The following is a 24,936-nucleotide window of genomic DNA, read 5'->3' on the forward strand; positions in this document are numbered from 1 at the left end:
AGCTACTGCATTTTCTTCTGCTTGTGTAGTTAAATATGTGTCGTGTATGTGATGTCTATAAAAAAGAGCTCTACTTCATTGACTTAAAAGAGGATAAGCACTTGAATCAAATATTTTTTAAAAGGGAAGATAAAAGCTGTGGTACCTTTCAGTTCACATGACTTTAATCCTCGAGGAATAAAAGCAGCCTTAAAGATTATTGGTAAAATGTAGATGTCATCAAAATGTAAATAGGTGATCTAAATTATGCAGGTCAGATATTAGGTTTGCTAAATGTTTTAAGGTTATAAACTGCCTTTTTTGGTTTTTGTGAACAGTTTGACTTGCCTGCTTCACAACTGGTGAGGCCTACAGACATATGGAATAAACCACACCCTTAATTATGCTGGAAGGAGTCAAACCTTGGCTGCGACTTGTACATAATTATAACAACTTACTAGGTTCTACATAAAAGTTAAAAATTGCTGGGAGTTACCATTATAACATGTAACTGAAACTACTGGAAATAGATTTACATGTGAGGTGTATAAGAACAGTAAGATGTGTTTTTAGCAAAAGATGATAAGAAGGCGTAGAAATGTAAATTCTTTCCTAGGCTTGAAGGATTGTTTTGAATTAGATAAGGTAAAGCTGAAGGTTTAATCAAATGATGAAAGGAGTATAAAAATTAATCTTGGCCGGGTGTGGTGGCTCATGCCTGTAATCCCAGCACTTTGGGAGGCCAAGGCAGGCGGATCACCTGAGGTCGGGAGTTCGAGACCAGCCTGACCAACATGGAGAAACTCCATCTCCACTAAAAATACAAAATTAGCTGGGCGTGGTGGCACATGCCTGTAATCCCAGCTACTCGGGAGGCTGAGGCAGGAGAAGCACTTGAACCCGGGAGGCAGAGGTTGCGGTGAGCCGAGATTGTGCCATTGCACTCCAGCCTGGGCAACAAAGACTGAAACTCTGCCTCAAAAAAATAATAATAATAATCTTGCAAAAGAAATTCCATGTGTGAACATATTAACTACATTCAAATGGTTATTATATGGTCTTCTATAAATTCAGCATTGAAATAAAAGCACAACAAGGTACTCTTAAGGCATTAATCTGCTCTTTAGCAAAATTTGTAAAAGGTTATAAAAGGTTTTTTGCTTTTTTAAAATTTCTGAGTCATTATTTTGGCAAAATAAATAATTTATGGCAATCTGGAATTGTATTTCATAACATCAGGTGTTTTAAATTTCTAACACATAACAGACTTCCCAAAATCAAACTTCAGTTTCAAAATTGTCTTTCCTGATGCCTGGCTTTTTGGATGCTACAGAGGGCCCCTGGAGTATCCAAAAGAGAGGTGAACAGGATTATTTGACATGTTTAAGTACATTGGATTGCCAAAATGATGTTTAATCTTCAGGTTAGATTTTAGAGAATTATATTAATATATGTTCCAAAATTGTATGGGATGTCTAAAATTCTAATGTCTGAGTATACGCTATCAATCATAATTAAGGTTATTAAGTTATTGTAAACCACGAAGATAACCAAATTTATTTGTCAATCATGTTTCTGACTATAACTACCCTGGACATTTTGTTATTTACAGATAATTGTCTTATTTTGATCCTCTTCAACAGATGGTTTATAACCAGCTATAGAACTTTGACAGGTGCTCTGAAATGCAGGTTTCTGATAACTTTGGAGATTGTGACATTATTCCAAAGGAAAAACATACAGGACTCATGAAAAGATGAAATGTTTATGAATATCAAGCAAAACAAGAGTTAACTGAACGGTCTAAACTAATACAAAACTGAGGTAATCTTTTGACTTTTGCTTGAAATATTGCTGATCCTTGTTTTGTTTTTCAGAGTCAAGCAAACTTATTTTGAGCTATTTACAGCCTTTAATCATTGAGTAAGGTATACTCCTGTGAACAAAATTTGGAGTATATTTGTCTCTGTCTCTCTGCCTGGCTTCTCCAGAATTTGGAAACTAGTTGTGAGTATTCTTAATTTATGGCCATATAGTTGTTTGCATCAGTGCAATAAGAATCCATTTTCTTTTGCAACAGCACACAATTGGAGAAACTGGTTGCAACAAGACACAATTGGAGAACCTGGTTGCTTTACTGAGGCTTTGACTGGAAAGGTATGCTTCCCTTTAAGGAGTCAAGCTTGACTTGCAGAGTCAATAAAGCCCCATGGGAGAAACTGGCCTCATATCTTCGTACACAGTCCCCATACAGGGTTCCTAACCTGCGGTAGGTAAAGAATGTCACTTTCCAACAGACCCAGGGACCATATCTCTTGAAACCTCAAGAAGAGAGGAGTTTGCCCAACTCATCGGTATTTGAGGATACAAACCCATGACTAGGCTCAGCTTTAAAAGGTCTTATTTGAGATTCTCTGTGGAACAAAGTTCCATGAAAGCCGATCTAAAAGGCCTATGTGGAAATAATTATTCTTGCTGCACTTTATGCAAATAATCGGGCCAAGTATAAGACTAAAGTCTATTTTGCAAACAACCCAGTCCTATCATGATTTGTTTTTAACAAAAATGAAGACTAGAGAAAGAGAAATAATGTTTCAAAACTTATCATTAGGTTCTAGATTCATTCATTGTTTTTAACTTTTTGCCTACATTTTAGACGAACCCTGCTTGTTCCTGTGAACCAAACAGCAATCTCTGGCTGCAGCTCAGAAAAAAACAAAAGGGATGGGTGACGTAAAAATCTGGATCAGTATTCTCCTTCTGAGCAGTTATCCTGCAAATCCTTCCAGGTGATGAAAATAAATAGGATGCCCACCACCCAGAGGTTTCCTTTTTGGGAAAGTAAGACAAAGGGAGCTAACCAAAGCCAAGCCCCATGCGTCCAAATCTTAGCAAGCATAACTATAGCCACCAGTGATCTAGGGGTGTCACAAGACATCCTTTTCTCTCCCTGGTTGGAGGAGGACTCAATTCCACCGCTTCATCTCAGCATTCAGCTTATAATAAGGAGTCCACGCAACCCCCCCTCAAGACGTATTTTTGTCCCAAATTCAATTCCAAACTTCAGCTCAAAGCCCTAGGAAAGAAAACTGGATCTGAGGAATCCAGAGACAGATGATAATGGCAGTTAAAAGACACAGCACAGGTGAGCATGACTAATTCCTGCTGCTTAAGCCAAGCTTCCCATTACACGGATAAAGGTCATGCTAGTATCCACGGCATAAATGAGGTCTAGGGAATTCACAGGCTACTGACAGCAGGGGAGACAGGGCGTATGTGGGTAAGAGCGGATATTCCCATCCCTTAGGCCCTCCTTTTAACATGGGTGAAAGCCACTTTGACACCCATAGGTGGCACCCTGTTGTGGCTGCCAGGACTTGGGGATACAAGGACAGAGGAAAGAAAGAGGAACGCCTCACTTTCCGTCCCTCACGTACTCTGGGTGTTTGCTAGTAAGAGAAAGGAACCAGGGATGCCTGCTCCCTTCTTTCTGGATGGGTAGCCATTCATCTTCAGTCTGTATCTCTTTTGAATGCCTCCTGAACCCCTGGGACTCCTCTAAAAAACACCTTCTTTTTCCTTTTTTTTTCCTCTGTCCTCTCTTCAGTGATATATAATGGTGTCTCTGTACTATGAGACGCTCCCTTCAGATGCATTCTCCAAACTGGGAAGAGTTAATTTCCTAAACCTTAGGCTGGTTGGTTTAGTACTGGGCTCAGGAGAAGGGAACCCAGAAGTCCAAATGCTGGCAAAAGGGTAGTTTCATTTTTTATTTTTTTAACCAGTTGGGCTTTTGGCCTCCCCTCCCACTTTGCAAACCAGTAAAAGGCCTTGGGATTTTTTGAGCTGTCCTTACCGTAACCTCCTTGTTTCGTTTTGATATATGTTTCCTAATAACCCAGTTGTCTATTCTCGCCTTCAGGCTATCAAACTCCAAATGATCATGCAACCAGAGCCTCGGACGATGGCCTTTTCTGCTGGGGATACTTAGATAAGCCTCTGAGGGAGATCTGACTGCTGTTTTCCCCAAAACAGTGCCCCCTGTTAGCAGAAAGCAGTTAATTTTGGTCATCATCCTTATCCTTACCTTATTCTAACCGCCGTTGGATGTACTTCTTTAGAGGGGGGAATAAGACAGCCAAATGCCTAGGCAGATATAAAGGTGTCCCCAGAGAATCTCCGACCCACCCCACAAGTGTTTACATCAGATGCTTCTGTACAGATGAGGGAACATGCCCAGGGCTTCATCTGAGCCTGCTCACATGTGCACTGGGAGAATGGGGTGGAGCCACAGGCAGGGGGAGGAGCCTGCTCTTCAGTTCCTGTGTGGTGGCCTGGGATTCAACCTGTGAGGTGGGAGGCCTGTTAATAGGACTCCATCTCACTTTGCTGAGTTTTTTCTTTTTTTTTCCCCCTTTTGCCCAATAAAATGCTGCTCTGCACACCCTTCAATGTGTCCACATGTCTAAAGTCTCCTGGTCATGTGACATGAACCCAGTTTTAGCTGAACTAAGGAGCAAAATTCTGCAACAATGATGCCTTAAAGACATTTCTGCCTGCACAATCATTTCTTTTCTTTTCTTTTCTTTCTTTTTTTTTTTTTTTTTGAGACAGAGTCTCACTCTGTCACCCAGGCTAGAGTGCAGTGGCATGATCTCGGCTCACTGCAACCTCCACCTCCTGGGTTCAAGCGATTCTCCTGCCTCAGCCTCCCAAGCAGCTGGGATTACAGGCATGTGCCACCACGCCTGGCTAATTTTTATATTTTTAGTAGAGACGAGTTTCACCATGTTGGTCAGGCTGGTCTTGAACTCCTGACCTCTAATGATCCACCTGCCTTGACCTCCCAAAGTGCTGGGATTACAGGCATGAGCCACTATCCCTGGCCACACAATCATTTCACTTAGGAGTTTTATAACTTGCAATAGTTCCTAAGAAAAATACCATTTTACCGGGGCAAACTATGGTAGATTCTTAGTCTTCTCTTTGGTGGTGGCCTCTGTGATCTCTTTGGAATAGCTCAAGAATGCTGTCTTTTGGTCTTCCTTCTTGGAATGTCTCAGGACAGGTGACATAGGACACTGAGCTGGAAGATGCACAGACACAGGGAACTGTTTTCTAAACTCAGGTGTCATTACTGCTCTGAAAGCAGCTTCTAAATGGAGAAAACAAATCCAACTGGAGCAGGAGTAACCACATCCCCTTCCATCTTTCACCGTATTAGATGAAGACTTTTTTTTTTGAGACAGGATCTCACTCTGTCACCCAGGCTGGCTCACTGCAACCTCCCCCTCCTAGGCTCAAGCAATCCTCCCACCTCAGCCTCCTGAGTAGCTAGGAGGCTACAGCTACAACTACAAGCACCTGCCACCACGTTCGGCTAATTTTTTGTAGAGACAGGGTTTCTCAATGTTGCCTAGGCTGGTCTCCAACTCGTGAGCTCAAGCAGTCCTCCCATGCCAGCTTCCCTAGGTGCTGGGATTACAGGCATGAGCCACGGTGGCCTGCCCAAGACATTTTTTTTAAATGAGAGATTTTAAAAGCTTAGCAATGAGAGAATAAACCCAACAGGTCTACCATTCCAACTCACCTTTGCTTTTTTCTTTTCTTCCCTTCCACAGTAGGAAGTATCCTCTCTCAGTACCTAAAGCTTTGATGTCACCTCCTCTAACAGGTACACCATGCAGTGTAGATCATTCCAAGTCTTTGTAAGCACTAAGTTACAGTCTCTTGAAGAATTCCATTGAACTGGTTCCAGAGTTGGTGTCTCTTTTCTAATCCTCCATTTATATGATAATCACTTGAAATTCAAGTCACCTGTTACTAGGATTGCAAGAAACAGAGGAATCAAATATATATATATATATATATATATATTTTTTTTTTTTTTTTTTTTTGAGACAGAGTTTCACCCCTGTTGCCCAGGCTGGAGTGCAATGGCGTGATCTCAGCTCACTGCAACCTCTGCCTCCCAGGTTCAAGCAATTCTCCTGCCTCAGCCTCCCGAGTAGCTGGGATTACAGGCATGCACCACCATATCCCGGCTAATTTTTTTTTTTTTTTTTTTTTTTTTTTTTTTTTTTTTTGTAGTAGAGACGGGGTTTTTCCATATTGGTCAGGCTGGTCTCGAACTCCCGACTTCAGGTGATCCGCCCACCTCGACCTCCCAAAGTGCTGGGATTACAGGCGTGAGCCACCACAACCGGCGGAATCAAATCTTTTCTTCTGGAGTTCTTTTAATGCTTTTAATCCAAGGTCCCAGCTCTCATGCTCACTTGAACTAACTCTCCCTCCCCCTCCCCCTCTCCCACTCCCTCAGCTTTTATAGATTTTTCTACAATACTTTCTCCTTACCCTTGTTAAAGCATTTGTTATCACTTCCATCCTTTACTGTTTAATCTTTCTCATAAGCACAAATACGCGTGCACACACATACACACACTCACATGAGTTCCCCGTGCCGGCTGCAAGTCTGGGTGCTGTTTTACTCAGCTATCTACGTTAGACCTGTGTTCCTGTTATTCCACAATATTACCACATTCCAGGAGGAGAAACCATTTTATTGTCTATTTCTTATTTTGATCCACATATCACATTAAAATGGAGCAAAAGAAAGGGTCTCAAACAGACAATATGAGTGCCTTCTTTAAGATGCTGGCCCTATAGAAATAGATTTCATGTTTTCCAAAGAGGACCCGGTACATCCCAGCCGCGGCCAGTCACTTGGCGCCATCTGCTGGACATGGACAAACAATCGTAGGCGGGGAACATCAGAACTGACGCATAGGTGCCCACTGCAAACCTGGCTCCCTGATGAACGAATGGTTTCCCACTGAAACGAGGCTTTACATCCCTTTATAACAAATCATCTCTCCAACTTCTTATCAATATCTCAGAAGCTAGGGAGTCTTTTCCACTATGGTTTTCCTATTTCCTCTGCTGGTGCATAAAGTGCCTTTGCTTTGTTTAACAAGCAATAAACAACTTTTTGTTTTGCGTATCACTGTATCCCCAGCATCCTGCATAGTGACTGGCACATGTAGGAGCTCCAAAATCAGTGGGTATTTTTGTTTCTTTGGCTTTTAAACGAAATAATAAGTGATTGATATCTGAGTCGGGGAAGATGACACACAGATATTCCTATTTTCATCAGACACGTTTGTTTTTTTGTTTTTTTTTTCTAGACGTCCCAGCCTGGGTAGGTGGGTAATGGTTTAGAAGCTCCTAAGGATGAACCTCTTCCCACCGCTAAAGTATTGAATCTGCTAAAAATAAGGGAAGAAACACTAATAAATAAATAAATAAACCAGGAAAAAACCCTTGTGGGGAGGGGAGACAAGAAGGAATAAAGACTTTGCATTATAGATTCTCCATGAAACCTGGCCTAGAATTGGATGAGCCTTCAATGCTCAATATACTTTTCAAAAATTGATGATTAACCAATTTGCTCAGTGCAATGGTTAATTTTATGTATCGATGTGGGTAGGCGCACGGGCATGGTGGCTCCACACCTGTAATCCCAGCACTTTCAGTGGCCAAGGTGAGCGGATCACTTGAGGTCAGGAGTTTGAGACCAGCCTGGCCAACATGGCTAAACTCTGTCTCTACTAAAAAAATAAAATAAAATAAAATAAAAATAGCCAGGCATCATGGCATGTGCCTGTAATCCCAGATATCCAAAGGCTGAGGCAGGAGAATTGCTTGAACCTGGGAGGCAGAGGTTGCAATGAGCCAAGATTGTGCCAGTGCACTCCAGCCTGGGTGACAGAGCAAGACCCTATCTTAAAACAAGCAAACAAAAAAACCTAAAATAATAGGGAAGCAGGTATCAGGGAAATAGGGAAGCAAAGGAGGCAGGTCTCGATGGCTAACTCAGTATGGGCAGAAGAGTCAAAGCTGCCTCCAAATTTCTAACTTAGCAAATGGGCAAATGTTGATGGCTGGAATTAAAACGAAAAATAGAGAGGATAAAGCAATTCAGCCAACAGTAATACATTTAGGATTGTTGTCAGAGGCATTCAAACCAGAGCAACTCCATCTTGGGTGAGGACTAGGAAAAATGAGGCTGGGACTTGCTGGGCTGCCCTCCCCGAAAGTTAGATATTCCTAGCCTCTAGATGTTTGTGGCTAAGGAAACAGATTGATAACCTTTACTAAACAGACCCAGACGTAGGAGTGTCCTGTGTAGAAAGCAAAAAGTTTCTTCCTCAAAGTTTCCCTTGTTAAAGAATAAATCATAAGTGTTAGAAGTAATAGTTCCTTTTAAAGACTAACTTCCTTCAAGCCTCCTTGCTTTGTGCTAATAACTCTTTGTTAAGCCCTATCCTATGTAGTTATTAAACATGCTCACAGGCACATAGTACATTCTATGTCCTTGTACTTTAACCAAGATATCTGTGCTGGACATGCTCACAGACATGTCCCAGCTCGCAGCCTATGCCCCTTCCTTATTTGGGAATGTTATTACTTTTCTAAGTCCTTTAGTAAGCAACTTCCTCCTTTCCCTTGTTCTCCATTGCTTTCACCTATTTAGAGAAGTTTTAAATTGTCAGCCAATCGGGTTCAGTTTATATTGTGAGGTCTGGCTCCAGCCAATGGAGACAGGACAGAGTAGCAGGGACAAGCTGCATAAGGGACAAAAATTGCTTCCCATTCCCTTTGAAAACTGGCACAAGAGAGGGATGCCCTCTCTCACCACTCCTATTACACATAGTGTTGGAAGTTCTGGCCAGGGCAATCAGGCAGGAGAAAGAAATAAAGGGTATTCAATTAGGAAAAGAGGAAGTCAAATTGTCCCTATTTGCACATGACATCATTGTATATTTAGAAAACCCCATCGTCTCAGCCCAAAATCTCCTTAAGCTGATAAGCAACTTCAGCAAAATCTCAGGATACAAAATCAAGTGCAAAAATCACAAGCATTCCTAAACACCAATAACAGACAAACAGAGAGCCAAATCATGAGTCAACTCCCATTCACAATTGCTTCAAATAGAATAAAATACCTAGGAATCCAACTTACAAGGGACGTGAAGGACCTCTTCAAGGAGAACTACAAACCACTGCTGAACGAAATAAAAGAGGACACAAACAAATGGAAGAACATTCCATGCTCATGGATAGGAAGAATCAATATCGTGAAAATGGCCATACTGCCCAAGGTAATTTATAGATTCAATGCCATCCCCATTAAGCTACCAATGACTTTCTTCACAGAATTGGAAAAAACTACTTTAAAGTTCATATGGAACCAAAAAAGAGCTGCATTGCCAAGACAATCCTAAGCCAAAAGAACAAAGCTGGAGGCATCACGCTACCTGACTTCAAACTATACTACAAGGCTACAGTAACCAAAACAGCACAGTACTGGTACCAAAACAGAGATATAGACCAATGGAACACAACAGAGCCCTCAGAAATGATACCACACATCTACAATCATCTGATCTTTGACAAACCTGACAAAAACAAGCAATGGGGAAAGGATTCCCTATTTAATAAATGGTGCTGGGAAAACTGGCTAGCCATATGTAGAAAGCTGAAACTGGATCCCTTCCTTACACCTTGTACAAAAATAAATTCAAAATGGATTAAATACTTAAATGTTAGACCTAAAACCATAAAAACCCTAGAAGAAAACCTAGGCAATACCATTCAGGACATAGGCATGGGCAAGGACTTCATGACTAAAACACCAAAAGCAATGGCAACAAAAGCTGAAATAGACAAATGGGATCTAATTAAACTAAAGAGCTTCTGCACAGCAAAAGAAATTACCATCAGAGTGAACAGGCAACCTACAGAATGGAAGAAAATTTTTACAATCTACCCATCTGACAAAGGGTTAATATCCAGAATCTACAAAGAACTTAAACAAATTTATAAGAAAAAAGCAAACAACCCCATCAAAAAGTGGGCAAAGGATATGAACAGACACTTCTCAAAAGAAGACATTTATGCAGCCAAAAAACACATGAAAAAATGCTCATCATCACTGGCCATCAGAGAAATGCAAATCAAAACCACAATGAGATACCATCTCACACCAGTTAGAATGGTGATCATTAAAAAGTCAGGAAACAACAGGTGCTGGAGAGGATGTGGAGAAATAGGAACACTTTTATACTGTTGGTGGGACTGTAAACTAGTTCAACCATTGTGGAAGACAGTGTGGCTATTCCTCAAGGATCTAGAACTAGAAATACCATTTAACCAAGCAATCCCATTACTGGGTACATACCCAAAGGATTGTAAATTATACTACTATAAAGACACATGCACACATATGTTTATTGCGGCACTATTCACAATAACAAAGACTTGGAACCAACCCAAATGTCCATCAATGATAGACTGGATTAAGAAAATGTGGCACATATACACCCTGGAATACTATGCAGCCATAAAAAAGGATGAGTTCATGTCCTTTGTAGGGACATGGATGAAGCTGGAAACCACCATTCTGAGCAAACCATCGCAAGGACAGAAAACCAAACACCACATGTTCTCACTCATAGGTGGGAACTGAACAATGAGAACACTTGGACACAGGGTGGGGAACATCACACAACGGGGCCTGTCGTGGGGTGGGGGGAGGTGGGGAGGGATAGCATTAGGAGAAATACCTAATGTAAATGACGAGTTAATGGGTGCAGCACACCAACATGGCACATGTATACATATATAACTAATCTGCACATTGTGCACATGTACCCTAGAACTTAAAATATAATAATAATTAAAAAAAAATTGCTTCCCTTCTTTATTCAGGTGTGTTGTCACCATTATTCCATCTGCGAGGAGCACCCTTTCTGCAGAAAGTAAAATTACCTTGCTGAGAAAACTTTTTGTCTAAATGCTGATTTTTCCTTATGGTACCAAGGAACAAGCATTCTGTTTTTGAATAAACATTTTACATATAACAAAATGGTGGCACATATGGGGATACATTCCCCTCCGGGGGTGGTCTCTAGTCCTCTCTCATGAGGAGGCACGCGTTGTGGCCTTAGGGGTAAGGAATCGAGACCCACCTGGTGTGATGAATAAACCCGGACTCTCAGCAACGCAGAAGGAAACTGGCTGTGACCTGGAGTAAAGGATCCTCACGTACCACGTGGACCGGGTGACCTCATGCATGAGCCAAGGAAGGGAACACTGGAGGAGCCAGTAAAGCAATTCCTTAGTCAGGCAGGACTAAAGCGGGGCCATAAAGCATTCCTTGGTTGGGACACATACCAAGGCAAGAGAAACAGCAGGAGCGGTAAAGCATTCCTTAGGTCAGGACTGAGAAAAGAAAAGCCACGGGGTTGGGGGGAGAATGGGGGTGGCGGTGAAGTATTCCTTAGACAGAATGTCTTAGAGGTTAAAAAGAGGTGAAAAATCCCCATTAGGGGAAGATTAAACATCACACAAACGTCCAGTAGTAAAAAGGATATTCAAAACTTCCCTTTCCCCTCTTCTCAGGGGAAGAAAGAGGCTAAGCTCCATTCCCACTGCCACTCCCTAGGGAAAGGGGGAGGAGAAGAGAGAGCAGCAGCGTGGGTGGCTGGCAGAGGCAGGGAAGAGCAGCAGAGAGAGAAAAAGGCAGAGACAGAAAGCAAAAATCTTTTGGCAAAGTTCCAAAGTTCTCTAGACGAGGTTAAAAAAAGAAAGGGAACTCAAGAATGCAAAGAGAAAGAAGGCAAGGTAGGTACTTTAAAGAAGAAGGTCAAAGAAAGTGCTATAAGGGCTGTGGATGTAAAGATAAGGAGGGAAGACAAGGGGGCCCTCTGGCCCAGGGTTAACGACTCAAACAACTTGAACCTGGCATCTGCCGAGCCTCTGGGCCGATGGCAGCCCTGGGCCCAGACTGCAGCCGCATGGATCCCACCCAGCCCAAGAGACTGAGTGTAAGGGAGAGAGGAAACGGGATGGCAAAGAGAGAGAGAGAGAGAGCGAGAGCGAGCAAATGAAAGAGAGATAGAGGGAGAGAATAAGTGACAGACTGGAAGAGACAATGATCAGAGAAAGACACAGAAGGTAAGACTAGGAAGAGAAATAGTGTAAAAGGAAGTCAGAAAGTTAAAGCATGTCAAAGATTGTCTGTGAAAGCCATAAAAAATGTTACAAAAGAGAATTTATGCAAGAAATGTTGTATAATTTAAAAGTAATTAGGCCTCCTGAATGTAAAACTATTAAAGGAACAGTTTATGTGCAAGATATGTAAGGAAAATAAAATATACTTTTAGTAAAAGGATTATAAGGAGGCATAAGAATATCAATTTTTACCTACATTAAAAGGTTAAAAAAAGGTGCTAAAGAAAATTCAAAAGAAAAATAAATATTGCTAAACCAAAGGGAAATATTATCCAACCCCTTATAAAGAAAATCTTATTCCAACTGCATCAAAGAACCCATTAGGGGCCCTCCAGCGCAGAGTTAATACCAACAAGTTTCCACCTCCAGTGGCTCCTAGACAGGCCAGGGTACAAGCCAGCAGGGGGACCTAGCCACGGACAGACACTTCCTGTGTCAGGGAGGGGGCCAGGCAGTTGTTAGACAGCACAGCCCAGCCCAAGGCCAGAGGCCAGACAGTGGGGGCTTGGGCAGGAGCAAAGTCTAGGGTTGGCCGGGTGAGTCACAAGGCCCCTCATCCCCAAGGCCGAAACGCACAGGGGTGATGAGGGCCACAGAGAGGCCGAGACCTCGAGAGAGGGGCAGGGCCACCAGGTCCCCTAGGCAACACTAAGTAGGGATGGGGCAGGAGGCATCACCATGGGGCCTCAAGCCCCAAGATATGCAAAGTCCTAACAAAATAAGAAGCCCCAAAGGGTCCCTCAGAAACAACTAAGTAAACATTTTTAAAAAAGGAAATTTCTCAACAAGAAGACACTAGGAACTATAAAGTAAAAAAAAAAAAAAAAAAATACCTATAGGTTGCCTTACTTACATTCCACTGCTGATGTCCCCACATTTAAAACAAAAGATCAGTTTCTCAGAAATTATATACTTGGTTTATCTTCCACTTTCCCTTCCCTCAGAACTAAGTCTTTTAGCACAGGTACCACCCCTAGAATTTCCAGTACACCAGCACCAGCCTGGAAACCACATCCTCATCAAAGGTCAGAAAGAAGAAAAACTTGAGCCAGCCTGGGAAGGACCCTACCTTGTGCTGCTAACCACTGAGACTGCCGTTCACACAGCAGAAAAGGATGGACACATCATACCTGCGTCAAGAAAGCATCATCACCATCAGAGTCATGGGCCATTGTTCCAGGGTCAAGCCCTACCAAGTTAAAGCTACGAAAACTTAATCTATCTTCTCTTTTTATTTTCTTCCCTTTAACTACTCTCCATCTTATTAAGGTAACTAAATCTAACTCACCTCAAGTTACTACTTTTAATGCCTGTTTAGTTATCACTCCTCCCAGACACAATGACAAGACCAAAGTCTCTATAGTAAAAGTAAAAAACCTAAGGCAAACAAGAACAATTGAGACAAGGTATCAGGATGTAAATGCCTGGCTAAAATGGATTAAATATTCCATCTGCACTCTAAATAAATGCAATCGTTACGCTTGTGTGCGTGGTAGGCCAGAGGTCCAGGTTGTCCCCTTTCCACTCAGATAATCCTCTAATCGACAAGACATGGACTTCCTGGTAGCTCTTTTTCAAAATCCTACAGCCTGTGACAGTGAACTGTGCCAAACTCTCTCTGCTATTTCCTAAAATGCAGTACCCTGTGGGTCAGCCCCCGAGGGCCATCCAGCCTTGTAGGGACCGGCCCTACAGGGTCTGTGGGTCTTTCACCCTGTGTGCAGAGACAAGAGATCATAGAAATAAAGACACAAGACAAAGTGATAGAAGAAAAGACAGCTGGGCCCAGGGGACCACTACCACCAAGATGTGGAGACTGATAGTGACCCCAAATGCCAGGCTGTGCTGTTATTTATTGGATACAAGACAAGGGGGCAGGGTAAGGAGTGTGAGCCATCTCCAATGATAGGTAAGGTCACGTGGGTCACATGTCCACTGGACAGGCGGCCCTTCCCTGTTTGACAGCCAAGGCGGAGAGAGAGGACACAGCTTACGCCATTATTTCTGCATATCAGAGACTTTTAGTACTTTCACTAATTCTGCTACTGCTATCTAGAAGGCAGAGCCAGGTATACAGGGTGGAACATGAAAGTGGACCAGGAGCGTGACCGCTGAAGCACAGCATCACAGGGAGACGTTTAGGCCTCTGGATGGCTGCGGGCAGGCCTGTCTGATGTCAGGCCTTCCACAAGAGGTGGTGGAGCAGAGTCTTCTCTAACTCCCCTGGGGAAAGGGAGACTCCCTTTCCCGGTTTGCTAAGTAACGGGTGCCTTCCCTAGGCACTGACATTACTGCTAGACCAAGGTCAGCTAAGTAACGGTTGCCTTCCCAGGCACTGGTGTTACCGCTAGACCAAGGAGCCCTCTAGTGGCCCTATCCGGGCGTGACAGAGGGCTCACACTTGCCTTCTGGTCACTTCTCACTGTGCCCCTTCAGCTCCTATCTCTGTATGGCCTGGTTTTTCCTAGGTTATAATTGTAGAACAGAAATTATTATAACAGTGGAATAAAGAGTAATGCTACAAACTAATGATTAATAATATTCATATATAATCATATCTATATCCTATTTCTAGTACAACTATTCCTCTTCTATGTGTTTTCTTTATTATACTGGAACAGCTTGTGCCCTCGGTCTCTTGCCTCAGCACCTGGATGGCTTGCTGCCCACACAGCCTCCATCTTTCAAGACCAATTTTACCTCATTTCTCCAACGACAAGGGGAAAATTTGGCATTCCTTGGAGACTTAACAAGCAGTGAGTTCAGGCACTTCCAAGAGCTGACCCATCAGTCCACCATTATTCATCACCAAGCAGATGTATGGTAGTATTGTAGAGGACCTTTACTGGACATTCTGCCAAACAATTAGAGCAGTACTTGCACTCTAGTTCAATTGGCTATCCCTTTTACCCTGGCATTTCATCAACCAGAAAAGCTTTTTCTTTTAAAAACTCAAGCAAAATAGCTAGAACAAGACATGTTAAGAAAGTTTGCAGAGGAAAAAACTATGAAATCAAGAGGAGGGAACCGTAGAAAGTAAAAAGTTTCCTCTTCACAGTTTCCCTTTTTGTTAAAGAATAAATCATAAGTGTTAGAAATAATAGTTTCTTTTAAAGACTAACTTCCTTCAAGCTTCCTTGATTTGTGCTAATAACTCTTTGTTAAGCCCTATCCTATGTAGCTGTTAAATGTGCTCACAGGCACATAGTACATTCTATGTCCTTGTACTTTAACCAAGATATCTGTGCTGGAGGTGCTCACAGGCATGTCCCAGCTCACAGCCTATGCCCCTTCCTTATTTGGGAATGTTATTACTTTTCTAAGTCCTTTCGTAAGCAACTTCCTCTTTTCCTTTGTTCTCCATTGCTTTTACCTATTTAGAGAAGTTTTAAATTGTCAGCCAATTGGGTTCAGTTTAGATTGTGAGGTCTGGCTCCAGCCAATGGAGACAGGACAGAGTAGCAGGGACAAGCTGCGTAAGGGATAAAAATTGCTTCCCTCCTTTATTCAGGTGTGCTCTTGCCATTTTTCCATCTGCGAGGAGCACCCTTTCTGCAGAAAGTAAAATAACCTTGCTGAGAAAACTTTTTGTCTAAATGCTGATTTTTTTTTCCTTATGGTACCAAGGAACAAGCATTCTGTTTCTGAATAAACATTTTATATATAACATCCTGATATCCCAATATCTTGAGAACAGAAGCATTCCTAATTTTGCTTTAAAGATAGTAATATCGATTCTTGCAAGATATAGTCATTAAGAAAATTAATCCTTTATCACAAACCCTTGTAGCAGAGCACATCTCCCCATGATCTTCTTTATCCTACATAAATGAGTATTATACCTAGGGTGGACATGTTTCTTCTTCTGCCTTCGGGAACGCCCTACCCTGTCTATGGAGTAGCCATCTTTCACCACTCTACCTTCTTTTCTTTTCTTTTTTTTTTTTTTTGAGACAGCATTTCACTCTTGTTGCCCAGGCTGGAATGCAATGGCACAATCTCTGCTCACCACAACCTCCTCCACCTCTCGGGTTCAAGCGATTCTTGTGCCTCAGCCTCTCAAGTAGCTGAGATTACAGGGATGCACCACCACACCTGGCTAATTTTGTATTTTTAATAGAGACAGGGTTCTCCATGTTGGTCAGTCTGGTCTCGAACTCCTGACCTTAGGTGATCCACTCGCCTCGGCCTCCCAAAGTGCTGGGATTACAGGCATGAGCCACCGCGCCCGGCCCCACTTTACTTTCTCAATAAACTTGCTTTTGCTTTGCACTGTGGACTCACCCTGAATTCTTTCTTGCACGAGATCCAATAACCCTCTCTTGGGGTCTAGATCGGGACTCCTTTCCAGTAACATTGTGAGATCCTGATTTTGAGATGCCCAGAAAGTTGCCAGCAATCAGTGGATTACAGAGGTCTGAAGATGTGGGGAGGAGGTGAGCAAAGCCATGAGAAGGAGTGAGATTGTCTAGGGAGAGGAAGGAGAGCACAGTATGGGTGCAGGGGCCAGGCTTGTGTGGACACATCTGGAAAATGCTAGAGCACCCCATTAGCAGGTGACGTTCCCCAACAGAAAATCACGCCCTCCAACCAAGCCTTTGTCAGTCACATACAAAAAAGTTTTAAATCTCTCATCTGCCTTTCTCTGGTTTCACACTTGTTCAGAACCCAGGCAGGGAAGAAGAGAACTATTTTCTGAGGCCCCCTGAAGATCCTGACAACAAAGAGAATAGTTGAAGTGTCAATATCCTTCCTTCCAGAAAGTGTTCTGGCTTCCAGGCAAACTGCCACCACCACCCCAGCAACCTGAGATCAAGGCACTGGAGTCTGCCTAGCAAGCCTGGGTCCCAGCCCCAGCCAAGGGAATATTGAGTGAGCGTGCTGTTGTGTGCGCACCCCAGAAACTTTACGGCTCTGTCACTAAAGGGAGCCACTCCAGTGGTTCTTCCCAAAGAAGTCAGCTTCAAGATGACTCAGTGTCCCCATGCCAGAAATAGAAATGGCTGGCAACTTTCACATGTCAGTTTCTTCTGCTAACAACAATTCCACACCCTGTTACATGCCCATTGAATTTAACAACGGGAGGTCCTTAGCGATTTTGGACACAGCAGATGGATTTTCAGTCCAAAGCATTCAGGAAGCACTGAAATCCGTGACCCCATCCCCACCTCCGTTGTGGGGCTTTGTAATGCATATCAGCATATTGAAGACCGTGGAAAGCAGTCTCCAACATTTTGTTTAATTCAAACTTTTTGATCCATAATCCTCCCTCCTTTCCAGGCAGAAAACTTTCAAATATTCCATAAAACATCAGAAATTCAAGGGACCATGAGGCCAGGTGCAGTGGCTCATGCCTATAATCCCAGCACTTTGGGAGGCCAAGGTGGGCAGATCACCTGAGGTCAGGAGTTTGAGACAAGCCTGGCCAACATGGCGAAACCCCATCTCTATTAAAAACATAAAAATTAGCTAGGTGTGGTGGTAGATGCCTGTAATCCCAGCTACTCAGGAGGTTGAGGCAGGAGAATCACTTGAATCCGGGAGCTGGGGGTTGCAGTGAGCCAAAATTGTGCAACTGCACTCCAGCCTGGGTGACAGAGAGAGACTCCCTCTTAAAAAAAAAAAAAAGAAAGAAAGAAATTCAAGAGACCAAGTATATATTGAAGAAGTTTGGATGAAAAGATAATTAATTAGAAAAAGTGGTCATAAAGGGAAAATATGAACCAAGAGAGGCCTTGTTATTTAGTGATTATTTTTAGATTGGTATAAACTTCCATATGTTCTTAGGCCAAGGGAAGCAGGAAAGATGGCGCATATGAGAAACAGAATAATTCATGGAGCCAGGCCCTTTGGGGATTTATAATCAAGTAGCTTTTACTTGGTAAATACTTCTTATATGAATAACAAATGAAAGGAAGTGAAACCCAAAATTTGTAAGTTTCAAATGCAAAGTAGATGAATAATCATTCTTTTGAGATATTTCCAAAGTTAGCATAACAATTCCAAGTCATTGAGTAAATATTCACATCAATATTTAAGATTTAAGGCAATTGTTTGGAATATTTTGGGAGTTATGAATAAAACTCTGAATCCTCTCTGCAAAAGGTTTCTTTCTTTTTTTTGAGATGGAGTCTTGCTCTGTCACCCAGGCTGAAGTGCAGTGGCACAATCTCAGCTCACCGCAACCTCCGCCTCCCGGTTCTCCTGCCTCAGCCTCCCCAGCAGCTGGGATTACAGGCACATGCCACCACGCCCCACTAATTTTTTGTATTTTTAGTAGAGACGGGGTTTCACCGTGTTAGCCAGGATGGTCTCGATCTCCTGACCTCGTGACCCGCCTGCCTCAGCCTCCCAAAGTGCTAGGATTACAGGCATGAGCCCCCGCGCCCGGCCTCTGTAAAAGGTTTCTACGATGAGTTTCAGGGAATTCAATCCTAGTTTTCAAATTTGTCACCAAAGCTGTGGTTGGTCCAGGGGGTCAGGAAGCGGCACCTGCCACCCAGAGGTGAGTAAAATGCAGAAAACCACTGCCAGTAGTCCCAGATGCCTACAAGCCCTGGGCTAATAACAGTTAAGGAAACATGAAAGGGGCTGCAGATTCATCTGTTGGAAGCCCACACACCTGTTGCAGCCTCAGCTTTTCAAACCTGGCACAGACACATCTTCTCAGCTGTATCCTAAAGCCTGTTGGCAAAGGCATTTCAGAAATATAGTCCCTAGGCTTCTAAGGCCTAAGATACAGAGAAGAGCATAAAAGGTGCTAGGAACAAGGCCGGGCATGGTGGCTCACGCCTGTAATCCCAGCACTTTGGAAGGCCAAGGCGGGTGGATCACCTGAGGTCGGGAATTCGAGACCAGCCTGACCAACATGGAGAAACCCAGTCTCTACTAAAAATACAAAATTAGCCAGGCATGGTGGTGCATGCCTGTAATCCCAGCTACTCAGGAGGCTGAGGCAGGAGAATTGCTTGAACCCAGGAGGTAGAGGTTGCGGTGAGCTGAGATTGCGCCATTGCACTCCAGCCTGGGCAACAAGAGTGAAACTCCATCTCAAAAAAAAAAAAAAAATGGTGCTAGGAACAGTGCTGACGATATCTGGCCCACCCTCTTTGCCCCTCTCCCTTCTCCATGTCCACTCCTCTTAGCAGTGCACCTTATAACAGAAGACCAGATAGAAGGCTAAAAACCAGCACAAGAGAAGTCTGGACCCTGGAAATGGGCGGGTGAGATCGAAGCACAGAAGGGCTATGGAAGTCTGGGGAAAAACAGGAGGTCCTAAGGGGTAGAAGTTTTCCTCCCTACTATAAAAGGATAAGCTATGTTGGGGCTTATCCTTAGATACTTAGAAGATGATACTTAGAAGTATCATCTAAGGTCAGTGGAGAAACTGGCGCAGAGAGCTAGGAGCATAGAGAAGCCATAGCCGCCGCTTTCCTATGTACTCTGCAATGGGCTGGAATGCTTTTCTACAGCCTGAAGGTAAGAGATCTACAAGGTTGGTGCACTAGCAATTGTGGTCCTCCAGACTTTGGATGTGCTCACATTAGGAAGCTTTTGGCAAGGACTTCACGGATAGCATTGCAAGCTGAGGATCTGTATAAAATGATCAGATCCAGGATTCCACTAGTTGGTAAAAAGTCTTTGTGTGCGTTTGAGAAAGGAGTTACTTCCTTGGGAAGACGCAGCTTCACACCAAAGTGCATGACTTGGCATGCTTCAGCCTGCATTCATCCCCTTGGGGATGCAGTGAACAGCCTGCACAACTGTACACAGCCGCCCCAGTCAAATCCTAGCAAAAGACTAATCTACAGTAAATTTATGTTAGCAAACTTAGATACAAGAATTTTGACTCACCATTGAGTCATTGTAAAAGTAGTGTTGGTTTTAGTTATCATTAAAAAGACTCAACAATTTAGAAATAATGTTGAGAAGGATAAAAAAAAATTAACATGCTGCTCTAAAGATAGAAAGAATCTAATTCTATTGGAGAGCTGTAACTCTTAGAATAAATGAAAAGGAAACGTGAATTGAGCAAACCAGTGTTGATAAACACAAGAAAGGGACGTCATAAAATGACATCGCCCCAAATCCAGCAGAGTCAATATCATCAAACTATAATTAGCACAAGTCTCCAAGGAGCATGAATCATATTGAGAAATAGGTTTTTGATCTTGAAAAGTAATATGAGAACTAGAGATGAAAACTAAGCTGTAGATGGCACACTGCAAAAAATTGAGGCTACCGAGGGAATGGAATGAGACAGGCTGCCGCTCACCTGCCTGCCCTGTCTCCAAAAGCACAGGCAAAAGAAGCAAATGAGGCGTTAAGCAGCATTAAGGAGACAAGACGGAAAGGAGGAAAGCATTTTTAAAAAATTAACTGAATATTAGCTGGGCGCAGTGGCTCACGCCTGTAATCCCAGCACTTCGGGAGGCCAAGGCAGGAGGATCACCTGAGGTCAGGAGTTCGAGACCAGCCTGGCCAATATAGTGAAACCTACTAAAAATACCAAAATTAGTCAGGTATGGTGGCGGGCACCTGTAGCTACTCAGGAGGGTGAGGCAGGAGAATCATTTGAACCCTAGAGGCAAAGGTTGTAGTGAGCTAAGATCGTGCCACTGCACTCCAGCCTGGGTGACAGAGTGAGACTGTCTCAAAAAAAAAAAAAAATAAAAGAAGAAAGAAATATTAACTGGATATTGAGATATATGTAGAACAGGTCTACGACAAATTCCCTCCTCAAATTCTCCAGGTTCTGATTCAGATCCAAAAACTACACAGCGGACCATATAAAATACATCTTAGAGCTTACAGATAGTGGCTAACTCTTTAGAAAGAGTCGTCTTAAAGTAGTAACTTTATTTGTTTAACACTTATTTATGAATATTTATAAATGAACACTTATGAATATTTGTAAGTGAACACTTATTTATGAATATTTGTAAGTGAACATTTCTTTATGTTTAACACTTATTATGAATTCTTTATATGAATCATATAAAGAATGCAAGTAAACAACTTAGTACTATTGTTATATTCTTTGAAGTTGCTGGGACTATTGTCCCATCACTTGATTAGAGTCTTCAATTCTCAAACTTGCTTTTCTGTCCCCATTCCTCGGGGTACTCTGGCCCCGGACACCTTCAATGCCCTCTCCTTCCTGATACTTTTCCTCACTTGACTTCGGGGACATTGCTCTCTCCTAGTTTCGCTTTCTCTTATCTGGATGCTCCCTCTTCTCTCCTCTCCAACTTTTTATTTTCTTTCAGCACCCCCCCTTAAATTGGAGGAATTCTCTAGAATTCAGCCATTTTTTTAAATTTAAATTTTAATTTTTTTATTTCCAAAGGTTATTGGGGAGCAGGTGGTGTTTGGTTACAGGGATAAGTTTTTTACTGGTGGTTTGTGAGATTTTGGTGCTCCCATCACCCGAGCAGTGGACACTGCACCCAATTTGTAGCCTTTTATCCCCCACCCCCCTCCCACCCTTTCTCCGTGAGTTCCCAAAGTCCATTGTGTCATTCTTACGCCATTGCATCCTCACTGCTGTGAGTGAGAACATACGATGTTTGGTTTTCCATGCCTGAGTTACTTCACTTAGAATAATAGCCTCCAATCTCATCCAGGTTGCTGCAAATACCATTAATTCATTCCTTTTTATGGCTGAGTAGTATTCCGTTAGATATATATATATATATATATATATATATATATATATATATATATCACCGTTTCTTTCTTTTTTTTTTTTTTTTGTGTCAGAGTCTCATTCTGTCACCAGGCTGGAGTGCGGTGGTGTGATCTCAGCTCACTGCAATCTCCACCACCTAGGTTCAAGCGAGTCCCCTGCCTCAGCCTCCCAAGTAGCTGGGACTACAGGTGCGTGCCACCATGCCTAGCTAATTTATTTTGTATTTTAGGAGAGACAAGGTTTCACCATGTTGGCCAGATTGTCTTGATCTCCTGACCTCGTTATCCACCTGCCTTGGCCTCCCAAAGTGCTAGGATTACAGGTTTGAGCCACCGCACCTGGCCATACCATTTCTTTATCCACTCATTGATTGATGGGCATTTGGGTTGGTTCCACATTTTTGCAATTGCAAATTGTGCTAGAATTCAGCCCTTTTAGAGGAGGTCTCTGAGAAGGACTAAGTCCATATTTCCAAGCTTAATCTCTATCCTGAGGTTCAGGCCCATTTTTCCAAATAGGTGTGGACCTCTTCATTCACCTATCCCACAAGTAATGCAAGTTACTCAGAACTAATCTCCTTCCCCCAGGGCAGCTGCCTGTCCTGGGTTTCTCATCTGCTAGGGTCTAAATGTTTGTGTCCTCCCAAAATCCATAGATTGAAATCCTCACCGGCAGGTGAGGGTATTAGGAGGTGTTATTAGTCAGGGTTCTCTAGAGGGACAGAAGTAAAAGGACAGATGCATATATTGAAGGGAGTTTATTAAGGAGAATTGACTCACACGATCACAGGGTGAAGTCCCATGACAGGCTGTCTGGAAGCTGAGGAGCAAGGAAGCCAGTAGTGGCTCAGTCCAAGTCCCAAAGCCTCAAAAGTAGGGAAGCTGACAGTGCAGCCTTCAGTCTGTGGCCAAAAGCCTGAGAGCCCCCAGCAAACCACTGCAGTAAGTCCTAGAGTCCAAGGGCCGAAGAACTTGGAGTCTGATGTTCAAGGGCAGGAAGCATCCAGCACAGGAGAAAGATGAAGTCTGGAAGACTCAGCAAGTCTGCCCTTCCACCTTCTTCTGCCTGCTTTTTCTAGCCTCACTGGCAACCAACTGGATGGTGCCCACCCAGATTGAGGGTGGGCCTGCCTCTCCCAGTCCACTGAAGCAAATCTTAATATCCTCTGGCAACCCACTCACAGACATACCCAGAAACAATATTTTGCATCCTTCAATCTGATCAAGTTGACACTCAATATTAGCCATCACAGGAGGTGAAGCCTTTTGGGGGGTGATTAGGTCATGAGAGGAGAGCCCTCACAAATGAGATTAGTGCCCTCATGAAAGAGACCCCAGAGAGCTGCATCAACCCTTCCACCACATGAGGACACTGCAAGATGATGTCTATGAACCAGGAGGCAGGCCCTCACCAGACACTGCCAGTGCCTTGATCTTGGACTTCCCAGCCTCCAGAACTGTGAGAAATCAATTTCTATTTATAAGCCACTCTGTTTATGGTATTTTGTTATAACAGCCAGGATGGACAAAAACACCATCTCAGCTAATACTGCTACCCTCCATTCAGTCGCCCAACGCAGAAATGTTCGCCTTCAACAACTCCCTTCATCTCCTCAGGTACATCTCATCATCCTAAAGTTCTCTCCCCTCCATCTGCATAAAAGCTTCCAAGCATAACCCCTTTTAAATAACAGAGTCAAATACATAACCTTTTTTTGTAGCCAAGATGGAAGTTCCCTAAGTGTCTGATTTCAAGCTTACTGAGAAAAGCCCAATCCAAAAAAAAAAAAAAAAAAAAATTCCTCCTTGCTGGCAGATCCTGAAATCCCTTTGGCAGACAAGGTTTTTATTGCAGAATTAGAAATAATCCTAAATGCCAGAGGCTCTGGAAAGATGCCACCTGAAATTGAAAGGACACCAAAGTGTCAATGTTGTGTCATACAGCCTTGCAGTGAAAAGGGCTGATGGTGGGAGGAGAGGGGAGGGTGGCAGATAAGAGCAAAGAAGAAAGAGTGCAGGGTGCAGATAGCTGCAGCAAAGGTGGTGGAGGCGGGCACACTGTGAACATACAAAGAAAGTTCGCTTGAGCCAACCAAGCCAGAATCAACTAAAATATACTTTTGTGCTGAAGGTGAATTAAACAATTCGTGAGTATGGGAACCAAGGTAGACAGGAAATCATTTTATAAAAAGATTCACAGAGACTCTTCTCTTGTTTCTATAATAAACAGAATGGAGCCACTTCCCAGAATTATAATAAGACACAGTGAATGGGAAAGTTCTAAATTTATGTAAGATCAGCTTTTGAAGTCTCTGAAATCGTTGCAATGGGAAATACTGCCTAAGTGCTTCCAAGTTCACTAACAGATCTTCCTCTAGGAGTTTTCACAGCCAACCCTTCAAAACTTGGCCACCTTTGCCATAATAGTCCATGAATATCCAATTGTCTCTGCAAGAAGTCTGTTATGACTGGGATTTCTTTCTGCCTCCCTTGGGTCAGATCAAATTAACTTGGTAAGAATTGCTTTCTGTAAAGCTAACTCACATTGGAGTAACCCCCGTGTGACCTAAGGCATCTTCTCCCCTGGCTCCCAGTAGATTCAGAAAAAGGAATGGATGAGGTCAGGAATAACACAGGGGTGACCAGTTGCAAAATTTAAAGATATAGCAGCTGGAGAAGTGAACCATAGGCCTTAGGAAAGAAAGAAGCAAAATGTTGCTGGCATCCAGCTGTGCAGATCTGATGAGACCAGCCGCCCAGAAATCTGTGTTACTGCTCCAGAAGACAATGCAATGTGCCTACAAATTTAATGACTGTCTCCTGGCCTATAACAGGGGAGCAGGAACTCTGCCCGCAAAGCCGAAAAGGGTCAAGGCAACCTGGTGAGAGAAATGTTGACTTTTCGTGGGTATAAAAGGCACAGACAATCTAGCTAAGGCAGGTGTATTGTGATCTAGTGGAAAGTCATGTATGAACCCCTCACCTTTTTTTTTTTTTTTTTTTTCAAAAACAAAGGAGTTACTGACTTTTCAAACCGCAAAATCATTTATGACAATTTAACCAGCTGTATTAGTCTGTTTTCATGCTGCTGATAAAGATATACCTGATACTGGGTGATTTATAAAGAAAAAGAGGTTTAATGGACTCACAGTTCCACGTGGCTGGGGAGGCCTCACAATCATAGCGGAAGGC

General features: G+C 43.0%; 1 protein-coding gene across 1 annotated transcript in view; it reads right to left on the bottom strand.

Annotated features, from left to right (window-relative positions):
• CCDC3 (coiled-coil domain containing 3) overlaps nucleotides 1–24,936 on the bottom strand; it is a 203,365-nt gene that overhangs the window by 171,674 nt on the left and 6,755 nt on the right. The window contains exon 4 of the mRNA NM_001282658.2: nucleotides 5,570–5,802. The gene's annotated coding sequence lies outside the window, so the exon portion shown is untranslated. The remainder of the gene's footprint in view (nucleotides 1–5,569; nucleotides 5,803–24,936) is intronic.

Source organism: Homo sapiens, chromosome 10 (assembly GCF_000001405.40).
Source record: "Homo sapiens chromosome 10, GRCh38.p14 Primary Assembly".
Taxonomy (NCBI): domain Eukaryota; kingdom Metazoa; phylum Chordata; class Mammalia; order Primates; family Hominidae; genus Homo; species Homo sapiens.